The sequence below is a fragment of the Homo sapiens genome, chromosome 8, assembly GCF_000001405.40.
Source record: "Homo sapiens chromosome 8, GRCh38.p14 Primary Assembly".
Taxonomy (NCBI): domain Eukaryota; kingdom Metazoa; phylum Chordata; class Mammalia; order Primates; family Hominidae; genus Homo; species Homo sapiens.
This window is the reverse complement of record NC_000008.11, coordinates 67,255,514-67,271,028: the sequence shown is the minus strand read 5'-3', so window position 1 is coordinate 67,271,028 and position 15,515 is coordinate 67,255,514. Positions and strand designations below refer to the sequence as shown.

Genomic DNA, 15,515 nt, shown 5'->3' with positions numbered 1-15,515 from the left:
TTTGGAGATGGAGTTTCCCTCTTATTGCCCAGGCTGGAGTGTAATGGTGCGATTCCGACTCAGCACAACCTCCGCCTGCTGGGTTCAAGCGATTCTCCTGCCTTAGCTTCCCGAGTAGCTGGGATTATAGGCATGTGCCACCACGCCTGGCTAATTTTGTATTTTTAGTAGAGACAGGGTTTCTCCATGTTGGTCAGGTTGGTCTCAAACTCCCGACCTCAGGTGATCTGTCCGCGTCCGCCTCCCAAAGTGCTGGGAGCATAGGTGTGAGCCACTGCGCCCAGCTTTATGTGGTTTTTTTTTTTTTTTTTTTTAAGGTGTACCAGTTTCTGATTTTTTGTTTTCATCTTCAAATAAAACTTAAAAATAGTACTTTATGTTTTACCAATTTAATGAATGCTTTTTTCAATTTGTTATTTGTTGAAATGTTGTTTTGGTTGTGATGTTGTATGGTTTTGAAATACTCATTTTTATGTTGTCAGTTTTTACCTTCATATTATGTTTGATATACAGGTTATATTTTAATTTTTGTTAATTTTATATTTAATCCTAACTCAAGACTCATAATTCACTAGCTTGTTAGAAAGGATAAATTATTTTTCCAGAATTTCGAAATGGCTAAAATAGTCATATTATCCTTTAATGTTAATGTTCTGTAATAGCTATCAAGATTGATTTAGAGCATTGTTATGAGAATGAAACAGAATTAGGCCTTGGTATTTTAAGTGAAAAGCTTTTTAATTTGGGCCATATTTTTGGACAGGAAACCATTTTTGGTGCCTATATGATGTATGATGTCAAGTTTTAAGAGTTTGCCATATGTCTGTTAAGATAATACAAGGCGTTTAACTAGGAAGAGTTGCCGTTTTTAGATAGTTTTTCCCCATTATCTGTAGGAACTATAAATAAAAGACAGTTAAAAAAACTTTTAGAACTTTTGCTTTTGTAAAAAACCAGAAGTCTTTCATCTGATGATGAGACATTTAAGTTGGCATTAGAAAATTTTGTAATACTTTATGTAACCAATTACAGATTTTTTTGGACACTGAGATTCTGCTTCTGTAGGTACTGTTTACCGACAGTAAAATATAAATTCTTAGATCTAGATATCAAAAATTATTTAAGTTGAGATTACTATTTTTGCACAGCAAATTCAACTTTGCAAAAATGAATTTGAAAGGAAAAACTTTAAGAAATTTCTTGTCAATTTGTAGATGTCAGATTCTCATTACAAAATTATTATAATATTCTAATTTTTAAAAATTAGGTTTATTTCACTCCTTATTGTCCCTCAGGGGGCGATAATGAGGGTAAAATGAGATAAATATAGATATACTTTCAAAAATGTTATACACACTCAAATTATAAATGAGTTGAGCACCGGGCACAGTGGCTCACACCTGTAATCCCAGCACTTTGGGAGGCCGAGGCGGGTGGATCACCTGAGGTCAGGAGTTCGAGACTAGCCTGACCAACATGGAGAAACCCCATCTCTACTAAAAATACAAAATTAGCCGGGTGTGGTGGTGCATGCCTGTAATCCCAGCTACTTGGGAGCAGAGGCAGGACAATCGCTTGAACCTGGGAGGCCGAGGTTGCAGTGAGCTAAGATCGCGCCATTGCACTCCAGCCTGGTCAACAAGAGCGAAACTCCATCTCAAAAAAAAAAAAAAAAAAAGCTGAACGTGGAGAAAGCCCAGCTATGAAAACCTAAATTTGCAAAACAAAATTAAGATTGTTTTTACATGAAGATTCATTTTATGAGAATATTCACTTCAGAGTTTCTGTGATGTGATTTTTTCATGGGTCTTAAATTATATATCTATTCCAGAAGATACAGTTTATGTACAACTTTTCAGGAGAACATATGTGAAGACAGCATACTTAAGATATAGCTGTTGTTCCACATACATACATTATAGGTCCTCGATAAATTATTAAAAGGTTGATTTTTTTAGAGCCCCTATTATGATAGGCATAATATCTTATATTACAGCAATAGACTTTTGCTTATTAGTGCAATTTGATAAACCATTGATAGTAGCTAAAATTTTTTCTTCCCTCTCTCTTCCAGTCTATATTATTTATTTTGTCAATCAGAGGATCCCAAAAGTTTTTGATTCACAAGTCTGACTTTTCATGAAAGTTGCACTTTGGCCAGAGGAATACCTCCAGTTCTATGTTCTATTTATTAAGCAGGCAGGGCCAAACAACTTAATGGATATTTGTCTTCACAGCCTACTATGTATTTCAAAGACAATAGTATGCATAAAGTAAAAGAAAAATAATGTTTTTATTTTATTCTTTACCGCAATTACTTACCACTGGGATGCGTGTGCCTATTAGAAACTGCACACAGCTTCTTAGATCTTGGAATTGAATACTGTCCCCCTCATTCCTGTACTTCATTGATTTTCATTCAGTACTTGGTTTTTTATCATAGCAACTACCAAAACCCAGCTTTGCGGAGATAATTATGTCATTGAAGGGAATGTAGTGTGATTTATTTGAAACCATGAGCAATCTTTTGAGGTATCCAACAGATGTATCTCCCTCTGAATTTTGCCTCAGAATTTTTTCAGGGCACCCTCATGAGTTTGCTACAGCATTCTGGGGTACTTTGATGCAGTTTTTGGGAATTGTGGCCATGTTGCCATAAGTATTTATTGAACACCTACTATGTGCCCTGCAATATGGACGTGATCTTTATCAAGAAAGACCTGGTCATTACTGTCTTCAAGCTTACAGTCTATAGGAGATACTGATATTAAACAAGTAAATAGAAATATGCTGAGTTTTGTGAAAGAAAATCACATTACAGGGGTACCTAATCCAGTTAGGGGGAGATACTATAAATGTGATTTTCTGGGTTCATAATGCATATGTTTCATAAATGTTAATATGTTGGTTGTTTCAGTCATTCCTTCTTAAAGTCACTTTTATAGAATACATTTAAATCTGAAAATTCTTATCTGTTAAATTGAAATTTATCTCATTAGGTTGATTAACTCACTGCTTGATTATTTGGTGTAAAGAGTAGTGAGAAATAGTTCATATGTAGTTTTCAAACAGTAGAGATTTTCACTTTTGTGAGTAATTAGAAAAATAAAACCGTATGAGACTTAGATTGTTTTTATTGTGTTGATTAGAGTATCAGTTACATTTAAATCTACGAACAGTTAGGCCTCTCAGTACTAGAACGTCTCTGAAAAATATAACTGATGAACAGAAGTATAAATTACGCTTTTGGAGGGGGATTAAAAAAGCGTAAGTTATATTCTGTAAAAATGTTAAAGAAATTATCACCTAGAGGAACTCTAAATCTTTGCATATTTCTTTTGTAGCAGCTGTGTTGAGAACAAAACACATCAATGTGAATTGCAGTACTGATAACTAGAAGGGCAAGTTTAAGTCACTTACCCAAGATATTTTAGTCCTGAGGATTCAGAGATGGAACTCAAAAGGAGTTGAACTCCATAAGAGCCTGGGTCCTAATACCTGCTCTATAGCTCTGGGATGTTTAAAAAGTGATCACACATATGAATTCTAAACAATATTTTAAACAGAAGTTTTCTCCTAATCACAGGTGTTCTTTAAAGAAATTTTCTTATACATTTTGGAAACTTCTACCAGCTCATTTGATCACAAATGGATGGTTATTCAGACACTGACGAGGATTTGTGCAGGTATTTTAAATTATCCTTTTTATTATCTCTTTCTTATTATTAGATATTTAAAAGGCCAAATGTACTCATATCCTAGATGTACTTTGTTGAAATTAATGTTATATTGTTACAGATGCTCAGAGTGTAGTGGATATTTATGTAAACTATGACTGTGACTTAAATGCAGCCAATATATTTGAAAGACTAGTAAATGATCTATCAAAAATTGCTCAAGGAAGGGGCAGTCAAGAACTTGGTATGAGTAATGTTCAGGTAAGAACTATAAAAACATTTTCAAATTTAAACTTTACCAGGAAAGAGTCATGTGTTTTCCTTAAAAGACCTTTAAAAAAAATTTTGTTTTTGAATTACTTTGTAGGAATTGAGCCTGAGGAAAAAAGGTTTAGAATGCTTAGTGTCGATTTTGAAGTGTATGGTTGAATGGAGTAAGGATCAGTATGTGAATCCCAACTCCCAGACAACTCTTGGTAAGGTGATATTTTGAGCTGTAATTCTTTGTCATTTTAAGTGAATAATACTTTGGAGGATAGTTGCAGCTGCTGTTAAACCAATTTCATGACATATTTATTCATTTAACTGATGAGGAAACATTCTCTGTGAGTTAAATGTCTAGCTTTAAAATTGTGAGATTTTTAACTTAGTTATCCAAACTATTTTTTTCTAAATCTTCTTAGAAATATTTTGATTATGTAAAATGAAGCATATTTATGCAACTTTCTTGTATTATAATTATAGAGGAAACATATAAAAGGCAGTATGTTTTAAGAAGGTTGAATTGTTCATCTGTGTTTGATGTTTACCCTCACTCAGAGAAAAACTCATAGCTGCAGGGCTACACTGGTATTATCGAAAACAATTCCTCATGAGGAGTGAGCTGAGAGCAGAAATCCAGTGGATACTCAGCACTGCAACTGCAAAAAGAACTCCTCCTAATGGTGCAGACTATACACGTACAAATTACAGTGTGTTTTAATATCAAAGTATGTTGTTTACTATGTTACCTAATAGTTATTTTGTATTAAATAGATATCTAAGCAACATTGAAACGCCTTGCCTTATTCAAGAATTTGTTTGCCCTTACACTTTTTTTTTTCTTTGATAGAATAATGTACTCTATCAATTTTTCTTCTTTCAGGTCAGGAAAAACCCTCAGAGCAAGAGATGAGTGAAATCAAACACCCTGAGACAATAAACAGATACGGAAGTTTAAATTCCCTGGAGTCAACATCATCATCAGGAATAGGCAGCTACAGTACACAGATGTCTGGCACTGATAATCCAGAACAATTTGAGGTCCTAAAGCAACAAAAAGAAATAATAGAACAAGGGATAGATTTGTAAGTGTCATAGCTTAAGGAGAAATGTTATTGAATATCTCTCTGCCAGTATAGTGCCACCCCTGCCGTGGGTTTATCACCTTATAATGAGTAAAATGGAGGATAGTTCTCATGGATCTAATTCACGAGGCTCCTATTCAGCCCCCCTTGTTCATTGCAGTCTAGCCCAACTAGATTCCTGTAATGCCCAACCACTCTTGTCATATAAATTAATTTGTCACCATATTATAAGTGCTGTTGATGGGTATCATCTGTGCAATTTTGCACTGTTTAGCTCATGACATCCCCCCATTATATTTTCTAATCATGTGACAACTCAAAACATTTAAAATATGAAACTTCTAATAGCTATCAGTACTCCTTTATAGGTCTTACATTTTTTCCAGCTGGCTTACAAATGTACTATTCTTGTTATTGATTTCATTTTTATATGTTGATGAGGTGATCACCTCTCTTCCAGCCTGGCTAGTGTACCGGATCCTAATCTTGTGAAGTCAGTTTTCCCACTAAGCTTTGTGATACCTGCCTGCTCCTGGACTATTTCCTTTGTGAATGTCACCATGCTGCCTTCCTTTCTCTTGTTGCCCATCTCTTTTTTTCAAAGAGATGCCATAAGGAAAAATGAAATTGTTTGCCGTCTCCATGAATCTAACTATTATAAACTTAAAAATTCCCCTGTGTGCTTACTTGGTTTGCTACTTCTGTAAAGCATTTCTTCCTGATACTTAAGCAGTGCCTTTTAGTGAATGTTCAGGTGTCTTTTTTCTCCAGTGTTAATATGAAAAACAGTTCAACAAAAATGTACACATATTCTATTTTAAAATTACAAAATCTTACCAAATTGCCTCAGGAAATAGCTGTCACTACTGCATTAATTCTAATTGTTCAGTCAATATTTATTAAAGTCTCATCTTTCCAGATATTATGCAAGATCCTGGGGAAACTAGATACATGGAAAAGCCCTTCCTTCTGAGAGGCTCTTGGTCTAGTGTGTGTAAACAAATATGCATATTGAAATTCTGCTGGTCACCCAGTAAACACATATTTGGTACTTGGGACTATTGCCAAGCACCATGAAGGCATTGGTCCTTGTATTCAAGATTGCATTCTAAACATGAGCAATTTTTAAAAATAGTACTGTGTAAATGTTTATAAAAGAGTGTCGTACAGAGTAAGTACTGCCAAGGTACTTATTTTGAAGTACTTGAGAAATGAGAAGGAGTAGTCAGAGGGCTTCGAAGTGGAAGTCTCCCAGTCCTTCTCTCAGCAGCTAGACTTGCTTTCTACTTAATACAGCCATTGATGAGAATGCTTTCATGGAACTGTATTCCTAGTATACTTGTCTACAACTGTTTCATGACACCAGTCTATCCTGTTTCTCTCCTACCTTTTTGACTATGCCGTCTCAGTCTTGTGGGCTGTTTTTTCTTTCTTCCTGCGTGCATCTTAGCATTGCCAGCGTTCTGTTCCTCAGCCCTTTTCCAACATCAGCCCCTTAGTTCTCCTACCCAAAACAAAAGACAAATAGAGAAGCCTGTTATTTTTGTATTTCTTATTTATGGTAGTAACCCCAGCATGCTACTAAATTTATAAGCTAAAATCCTGGGAGTTAGCTTAGATTTTCCCCTCAAAGGATTAGATTCTCGAATCTAATCTGTCACTAAGACTTGTTGATTATACTTCCTAATATCCCTGCAATCTGTACTCTTTTCTCGATCTCCCACCACTATTCTTGCAAATCAAATCATGATTATTTATTTCCTCAACTAGTATAATCTTTCAATTGGCTTACCTTTTTCTTTGGTTTTGTTCATTCTTCAGTCTTTTCCCATGCTTAACTAGAGTAACCTTTCTTGAATGAAAGTCTATTTTTTCCCTCTCTTAGAGAATAAAACCAAAGCTGCTTTGAAGGTATGATAATACCTTCATGATTTGGATCTGCTGGACTCTAAGCTTCATTTCCTGCCACTTTTCTGTCTCACCTCACTTTCCAACAATGCAGAACTATTTATTATATAATACTGTCTTGTGCTTTTGTGTTTTAGTATGGCTTCTTCCTCTCTTGCATGTTTTTTCTTATTGTTTATAAAAGATATAATTGTTCTTCAAAATAGTTCCAGAGTCACCTTTCCCAGGAAATATATTATGACCATCTAAGTTAGTTACTTCTACTGTGTTATTTTCTTACCTTGTGAATACATCTATTTGTCACAGTTTTAGTATTATAATTCTTTAAAATTGTGTTTCTTCCATTACAGTGAGAGCTTCTAGGGGTAGGGGGATTATGTTTAGCTTAGTGAAAAGTGTTTCATTTTATGAATGTTAAGTGGTTATGGTTGGATGAGAACTTGACAAGGGAACCTTTAGGAAGAGCATCCCAGACTAAGAGAATGGCATGTGCAGCAGCAGAGGAAAGGGAGGACATCTGAGCACTTGTTCAGCATGGCAGGCTAGAGTGGAGGGGGAATAACAGGAGGTAAGATTAGAGCATTGGGTTGGATCTAAATTACAGAAGGCCTTATTCTCCATGTAAAGGACTTTTTGTTGTCTTGTTCCTCTTGGCGCTAGCGTGCTAGTGAAGGACTTTAAGCAGAGGAGTAGCATCATCAGATTTCTGTTTTGTAATAGGACTTTGCTGGCAGCCTGAAGGGTGCATTAGAATATGGGCAACATGAGCTAGAGGGAGACCATTTAAGAACTCTTGCAATAGCCCAAATGACAGGTGTTGGAGCACCAAAGTAACAAAAGTAGGAAGTAAATGATCTGTAAACAGAGAGGTAACATTTGAATTGGATCTTTAAGCCTGAGGGAGACTCCCCTGTGAATGGAGCAGGTAAAAGACATGCAGAGGAAATAGACTCTAAAAATAGATTTAGGGAATGGGATATGATATATGGGAGCAGAGGAAGGAGAAGGGAGTGAGAGAGAATCTGGAGCTGTATTGAGAAAGGTTTTGTGTGGTCTAATTAATTTGGACAAATGAGCCAAGATTACTTGAAGATTAAGTAGAATGTATATTCGGAGTACCTTAGGGATATTGTGGGTTCAGTTCCATACCACAGCAGTGAAGTAAATATTGCAATATAGTGAGTCACACCATTTTTTTGATTTCTCAGTGCATTAAAGTTATGTTTATACTGTACCATAGTCTATTAACCTATAACCCCCTTATGTCTAAAAAACAATGTACACACATTAATTTAAAAATACTTTATTGCTGAAAAATACTAGTAACCATCTGAGCTTTCAATGAGTTGTAATCTTTTTGCTGTAGAGTGTCTTACCTGAGTGTTGATGGCTGCTGACTGATCAGGGTGGTGATTGCTGAAAGCTGGAGTAGCTGTGGTAATTTCTTAAAATAAGACAGCAGTAAACTTTTTTGCCTTGATTGTCTCTTCCATTCACGAAAGATTTCTCTGTAGCATGTAATGCTGTTTGATAGTATTTACCTACAGTAATATGTCTTTCAAAATTGGAGTCTGTCGTCTCAAACTTTGCTGCAATTTTATAAACTAAATTTATGGAATATTCTAAATCTCTTATTTTCTTTCCACCAGTGTTCACAGCATCTTAACCAGTAGTAGATTGCATTTCAAGAAACCACTGTTTTCACTTGTCTATAAGAAGCAGCTACTCATATGTTAAAGTTTGATCATGAGGTTACAGCAATTCAGTGTCATCTTCACACTTTACTTCTAAGTCTCTTGTTACTTTTACCACATCTGCAGTTACTTCCTCCCCTGATGTCTTGGACTCCTGAAAATCGTCCATAAGGGTTAGAATCAGCTTCTTCCCAACTCCTATTGATGTTGGTATTTTTACCCCTCCCATGAGTCACAAATGTTCTTAATGGCATCTAGAACAGTGAATCCTTTCCAGAAGGTTTTCAACTTACTTTGCCCAGATTCAACAGAAGTATCTCTCTACATGGCAACTATAAGGCAGCTCTCTACATGGCAGCTTTTAAGTAGTATCTCTTTTAAGTAGTATCTCTACATGGCAGCTTTTAAGTAGTATCTCTCTACATGGCAGCTTTTACGACTTGAAAGTTAGCCTGGCATGGTAGCTTATGCCTGTAATCCCAGCTACTCATGAGGCCTGAGACCAGGAGTTCAAGATCAGCGTCGGCAATGTAGCAATTCCCCATTTCTTTAAAAAAAAAAAAAAAAAAAAAAGACTTGAAATTCAGAGTTACTTCTGAGGAAAGGGCACGGTGGCTCATGCCTGTAATCCCAGCTTTGGGAAGCCAAGGTGGGAGGATCATTTGAGCCCAGGAGTTTGAGATCAACCTGGACAGCATAGTGAGACTGCATTTCTGCAAAAACAAAATCACTCTTTCATCCAAGGGCTGCAGAATGGATATTGTGTTAGCAGGCATGAAAACAACACTAATCTCATCGCACATCTCCATCAGAGCTCTAAGGTGATCAGGTGCATTGTCAATGAGCAGTAATCTTTTGAAAGGAATCTTCTCTTTGAAGCAGTAGATCTCAACAGTGGGCTTCAAATATTCAGTCATCTATGTTGTAAACAGCTGGTGCTGTCATCCAGGCTTTGTTGTTCCATTTCTAGAGTGCAGGCAGAGTAGATTTAGCATGTAATTCTTAAGGACCCTGGGATCTTTGGAATGGTAAATGAGCATTGGCTTCAAGTTAATATCATCAGCTACATTAGCCCCTAAGAGAGCCAGTCTGTCCTTTGAAGCTTTGAAGCCAGGCATTAACTTCTCCTCCCTTGCTATGAAAGTCCTAGATGGCATCTTCTTCCAGTAGAAGAAAGACTGTTTTATCTACATGGAAAATCTGTTGTTTAGTATAACCACCTTCATAAATGATCGTAGCTACATCTTCTGGATAACTTGCTGCAGCTTCTCCATCAGCACTTGCCATCAGACCTTGCACTTTTATGTTGGGAGACTGCTTCTTTCCTTAAATCTCATGATCCAACCTCTGCTAGCTTCCAGATTTTCTTCTGCAGCTTCATTACCTTTCTTAGCCTCATAGACTTGAAGAGAGTTGGGGCCTTTTTTGGGATTAGGCTTTGCCTTAAGGTAATGTTGTGACTGGTTTGATCTTCTTTTCACACGTGAAAACCTTCTCCATATCAGCAGTTAGGCTGTTTTGCTTTCCTACTGGTGTATTCACTGGAGTAGCACTTTTAACTTCCTTCAAGAACTTTTCCTTTGCATTCACAACTTGGTTTGGCTCAAGAGACCTAGCTTTCAGCCTGTCTTGGCTTTTGACATGCCTTCCTCACTAAGCTCAATTATTTCTAGTTTTTTATTTAAAGTGAGAGATGTGCGAGTCTTCCTTCCACTTGAACACTTATTGTAGGGTTCTTAACTGGCCTAATTTCAGTATTTTTTTGTCTCAGAATAGGGAAGCCCAAGGAAAGGAAGAGAGATGAGCCAGTCAGTGGAGCAGTCAGAACACACACAAGTATTGATTAAGTTTACCATCTTATATGGACGTGGTTTGTGTCACCCCAAAACAATTACAATAGCAACATCAAAGGTCACTGATCACAGGTCACAGTATCAGATATAATAGTGAAAAAGTGTGAACTATTGTGAGAATTACCAAAATGTGACACAGATACAAAGAGAGCATATGGTTTTGGAAAAATGGTACTGATAGACCCTCAATGCAGGGTTGCCACAAACCATGAACCTGTAAAAAACACGTATCTGTGAAGTGCAATAAAATGAAGTATGCCTGTATGAAATATTTAGTATTACTCAAAGTTCGTCTACTACATGGCATTCTCTCTAATAGTCTCTCATAGTCTAATTTCCCACTGTGGATATGGATAAAAAAATACTTCATACTGTAAAAAAGTAAGTAAACAAGTCAGTGAAATGATAGTAATAAAGATGGCCTTCCATATGAGACTTATTTCTAAAAAGAAAAGAATAAAGAAAACTTGGCACAATGTAATTATTTTGTACATTCATGTACTGATGTGTATTAAATAAGCTACTATTTTCTGGGTGCTATTAGAAAATTTACTGTGGTTTAAGATCTTTTCAGGGACTACGAATGGTTTTCTATTTTTAATGTTCTTATTTAACATCATCTAGATTTAATAAGAAACCAAAGAGAGGAATACAGTACCTCCAAGAACAAGGGATGCTTGGCACCACACCTGAAGATATTGCCCAATTCTTACATCAAGAGGAAAGATTAGACTCTGTAAGAATACCATTTTCATTCTAACCTTTTCTGTAAAATTCTTGGGATTTTTTTTTCTTTTTATTAGAGACAGGGTCTCGCTATATTGCCCAGGCTAGTTTTGAACTCCTGGGCTCAGGCAATCCTCCTGCCTCAGCCTCCCAAAGTGCTGGGATTACAGGCGTGAGCCACCACGCCTGGCCCCGTTTCTGTAAAATTCTTTTTTAAGTTAATAATACATATTGTGACTCCTTTAAAATGCTTTCCTAAATATAGAGGTAAGTAAAACGTAAAGAATAACCTTGGTTGGCCGGGCACAGTGGCTCACATGTGTAATTCCAGCGCTTTGGGAGGCTGAAGCGGGTAGATCACCTGAGGTCAGGAGTTCGAGACCAGCCTGGCCAATGTGGCAAAACCTCGTCTCTAATAAAAATACAAAAAATTAGCTGGGCGTGGTGGTGGGCTCCTGTAATCCCAGCTACTCAGGAGGCTGAGGCAGGAGAAACACTTGAACCCAGGAGGTGGAGGTTGCAGTGAGCCAAGATTGCACCACTGCACTCCAGCGTGGGCTACAGAGTGAGAGTCTGTCTCAAAAACAAACAGAAAGATGTCTTGGTTATAATATAATCATCTCTAATTGGTCCTCCGTAGCCATGAGTTCTGTATCCATGGATTCTACATCTGTGGATTCAACCAACCACAAATTGAAAATATTCAGGGGAAATAATGGGTAATTGCATCTGTACTGAACATGTACGAACTTTTTTTCTTGTAGTTATTTCCTAAGCAATACAGAAAACCTATTTACATTGTATTACCTATTATAAGTAATCTAGATATGGGAGTAGAGTATATGGGAGGACGTGTGTAGGTTATATGCAAATACTGTGCCATTTTTTATAAGGAACTTGAGCATCCATGGATTTTGGTGTCCATGCAGGGTCCTGGAACCAATCCCCCACTGATACTGAGTGATGACTGGTGTGTGTGTGTGTGTGTGTGTGTGTGTGTGTGTGTAAAATCTGCTTTTTAAATTTTCTAAACTGAAAAGAATATCCTGATATATTTATGAAGGCATTTAGTGTGTTTAACTTTTAGCTTTGTGTTTGAAATTGTTAACTCTATAATCAAAAGTCTGCGGATCTTAACAAAATTTTCTGCTTTTTAAGTGGCTGTGTGGTGAATGTAAACATCTCATGAAAATCTCAATTTCTGGCCGGGCACAGTGGCTCATGCCTGTAATCCCAGCACTTTGGGAGGCTGAGGCGGGTAGATTACCTGAGGTCAGGAGACCAGCCTGGCCAAGATGGTGAAACCCTGTCTCTATTGAAAATACAAAAAAAATTAGCTGGGCGCAGTAGCAGGCGCCTTTAATCCCAGCTACTCGGGAGGCCGAGGCAGGAGAATCGCTTGAACCTGGGGGCAGAGGTTGCAGTGAGCCGAGATCGTGCCACTGCACCCCAGCCTGGGCAACAGAGCAAGACTCTGTCTCAAAAAAAAAAAAAAGAAAGAAAATATCAATTTCTATCTCTGTTTTTACTTTAGACTCAAGTGGGTGAGTTCCTGGGAGATAATGATAAATTTAACAAAGAAGTCATGTATGCATATGTGGACCAACATGACTTTTCAGGAAAAGACTTCGTTTCAGCCCTTCGTATGTTTCTAGAAGGATTTCGTCTTCCAGGGGAAGCTCAGAAAATCGATCGATTAATGGAAAAATTTGCTGCAAGATACCTAGAATGCAACCAAGGGTAAATAAGGTTCAAATGCTCATTGATTGTCTGTTATATCCAAACCACTGTGCTAGGTAGCATCCAGGGATTTACAGATAATAGGACCTAATCCCCTGTTTAGAGAATTTAGATTGTCTACAATCTGGAAGTCGTAAAACAAATCCATAAAAAATTGTAATGTGAGATACTTAGAGAAATAAAAGTGCTATGGGATTTGAGGTGACTTATTTAAATGAAACTATATAAAACAGTAGAAGTTTATAACATGATACATTTATTTTTCCAGACAAACTCTCTTTGCTAGTGCGGATACAGCTTATGTTTTGGCTTATTCAATTATCATGTTGACCACAGACCTTCACAGTCCACAGGTATGTTTTCTTTTAAGTCAGTTTTACAATAAGCGGTACAAAATAAGTACATTATTCTGAATTCAGTAAGTAATAGTTGAAATTTTAGTTTTATTCAGTTAAACCAGTCACCATATTTGGGTATTTAATTTGGGATGGTGAACATTTTACAAAGGCAACTTCTGGTAGTAATTAAAATTAGACTTTTAGGTATCTATAAAATGTTTCTGTATTTGTCGTTCATGATTGACAACTGTATAAAGCTTAAGATAAATTTTAATCTAACAAGACATTTATAGGTCTTATGTCAGTTTGTCACAACATGGAAAAACGCTGTGTATAAACCATCCTTCTAAAAAATATAATGTTTCAGGCCAGGCGTGGTACCTAACGCCTGTAATCCCAGCACTTTTGAGTGGCCGAGACAGGCGGATCACATGAGTCCAGGAGTTAAGACCAGCCTGGGCAACATGATGAAACCCTGTCTCTACAAAATATGCATAAATTAGCTGGGCATGGTGGCATGTGCCTGTGGTCCCAACTACTTGGAGGGCTAAGGTGGGACGATCGCTTGAGCCTGGGAGGCACAAGTCATACAGTGAGCTGAGATCGTGTCACTGCACTCCATCCTGGGTGACAGAGGGCAGACCCCGTCTCAAAAAAAAAAAATGTTTCAAACTTCACCAGTAGAGGGATTAGCGTAATGAACTCTAATGTACCCATTACCTGCCTTCCACAGTTATCAACTTATGGCCGGTCTTGTTCTATCTATATCTCTTTCCTCCCCTAGATAATTTTGAAGCAGATCTCAGATATCATACCATTTCATCTGCATTTATCTCAGTGTGTTTCTCTAAAAGAGAAGTACTCTAGTTAAACATAACCATACCAGCATACCTAAAAAGTTAACAATAATTTAAAAATACCTGATATCTAGAAATGTTCTTTTGCCTCATGAAATTCATATTTACTTCTTAAATATTGAAGAACTGTCACTTGATTTCTGATACCTACTTAAAAAGTTTGATTTAAAGTTTTAGTATTTTTTGCTTAGTTTCTAAAAACACACATTGACATCCTTGGGTAAAATTACATTTATAAATTATTTGCAAGGATTTCTTAGTACTTCTAGGGGTAGGTATCTGATGATATTTGTTATGCTTAGGTTGTAAAATAAATTACCTACTTTCTAATCTGAGATGTATTGGAAAAATTAAAATTCATTTGAATTTTGAGATTAACCTTTGCAGTATAGGGATTTTTTGTGTCTGTTTTGAGATGTTTAAAGCAGAGTAGATAAGGAAAGTATATACCAAACCTAAAGTAAGAATATATACGATTATATACATATGTATATACATATGATTATATGTGAAGTTACTCCTGTTTTAAACACAATATTGAGCAACTATGCATTTACCACAAATTTACTTGATTTTATATAGGACTTTAAAAATTTATTAAAGAATTTAATAATTCAAGATTTGCCTCTGGCATATTTTTGGCAGTATAGTCAAAGCAGCTCACCTTCAGGGCTTTTATTATCGAGCATGATGACTTCTATTCTACGGCTTTATAAGGTAGTTCACAGTTGGGATTTGTTTAGATATTTTTACACCAGAATTTTCAGTCTAATTTTTTCATTTGATTTTTCAATCTACACTAGAGTATTTTGACCTGGGTTTACATATGTTTGGTTTTAAAAAGCTATGCTTTAAAAGACATTTGGTTCTCTAAATGAATAAGCAATATTATATGCACCTGTGCAATGTCTTCCTATACATATGTACATACTCATGTTATTTTGAAGAAATATTAAAAATTCCTTTTATGTCTTTTCATAAGTACCTAGACTGTGAAAAGTTTCTAAGGACATACCAGTTAGGGAGTATTACCTTCACAACAGTGTCCCGTCTTTAGCATAACAGTGCCTGTTTGCAGAACATGTGCTTGGAGTCCTAGTCTAGCGGTGGCAACTGCTTGTTGTCCAACTGTTCCTTATCAGCTTGCTGCCTGGTGTCATGTGCTGCTATGCAGCCTGCAGCTGTAGAACAGCTTGTGAGTTTCTATGAAGCTAAGTAATCTGTTAGAAAATTGTACCCGTGATCTTGGCCTCAGTTGATTTAGATAACTATAACAAATGACAACATTTTAAAATACAAATAACTTTAAAGGAATTTCTTAAAACTAATTCTCATTCTTAGTTCTTTTCAAACTTAAAAAATAGGTGGATTTTAAC

The 15,515-nt window shown here is 36.4% G+C and overlaps 1 protein-coding gene across 17 annotated transcripts in view; it reads left to right on the top strand.

Annotated features, from left to right (window-relative positions):
- The window catches only part of ARFGEF1 (ARF guanine nucleotide exchange factor 1), a 170,271-nt gene that overhangs the window by 72,753 nt on the left and 82,003 nt on the right, over positions 1–15,515 (top strand). For all 17 annotated transcript variants that reach the window (NR_182117.1, NM_001413186.1, NM_001413187.1 and 14 more), the window contains 7 exons: positions 3,587–3,686; positions 3,799–3,938; positions 4,045–4,153; positions 4,822–5,023; positions 11,103–11,214; positions 12,739–12,944; positions 13,213–13,297. Coding sequence is in view for 16 of the 17 variants with exons in the window: in NM_001413186.1 (NP_001400115.1) it covers positions 3,587–3,686; positions 3,799–3,938; positions 4,045–4,153; positions 4,822–5,023; positions 11,103–11,214; positions 12,739–12,944; positions 13,213–13,297 (954 nt within the window). In the remaining variant the exon portion in view is untranslated. The remainder of the gene's footprint in view (positions 1–3,586; positions 3,687–3,798; positions 3,939–4,044; positions 4,154–4,821; positions 5,024–11,102; positions 11,215–12,738; positions 12,945–13,212; positions 13,298–15,515) is intronic.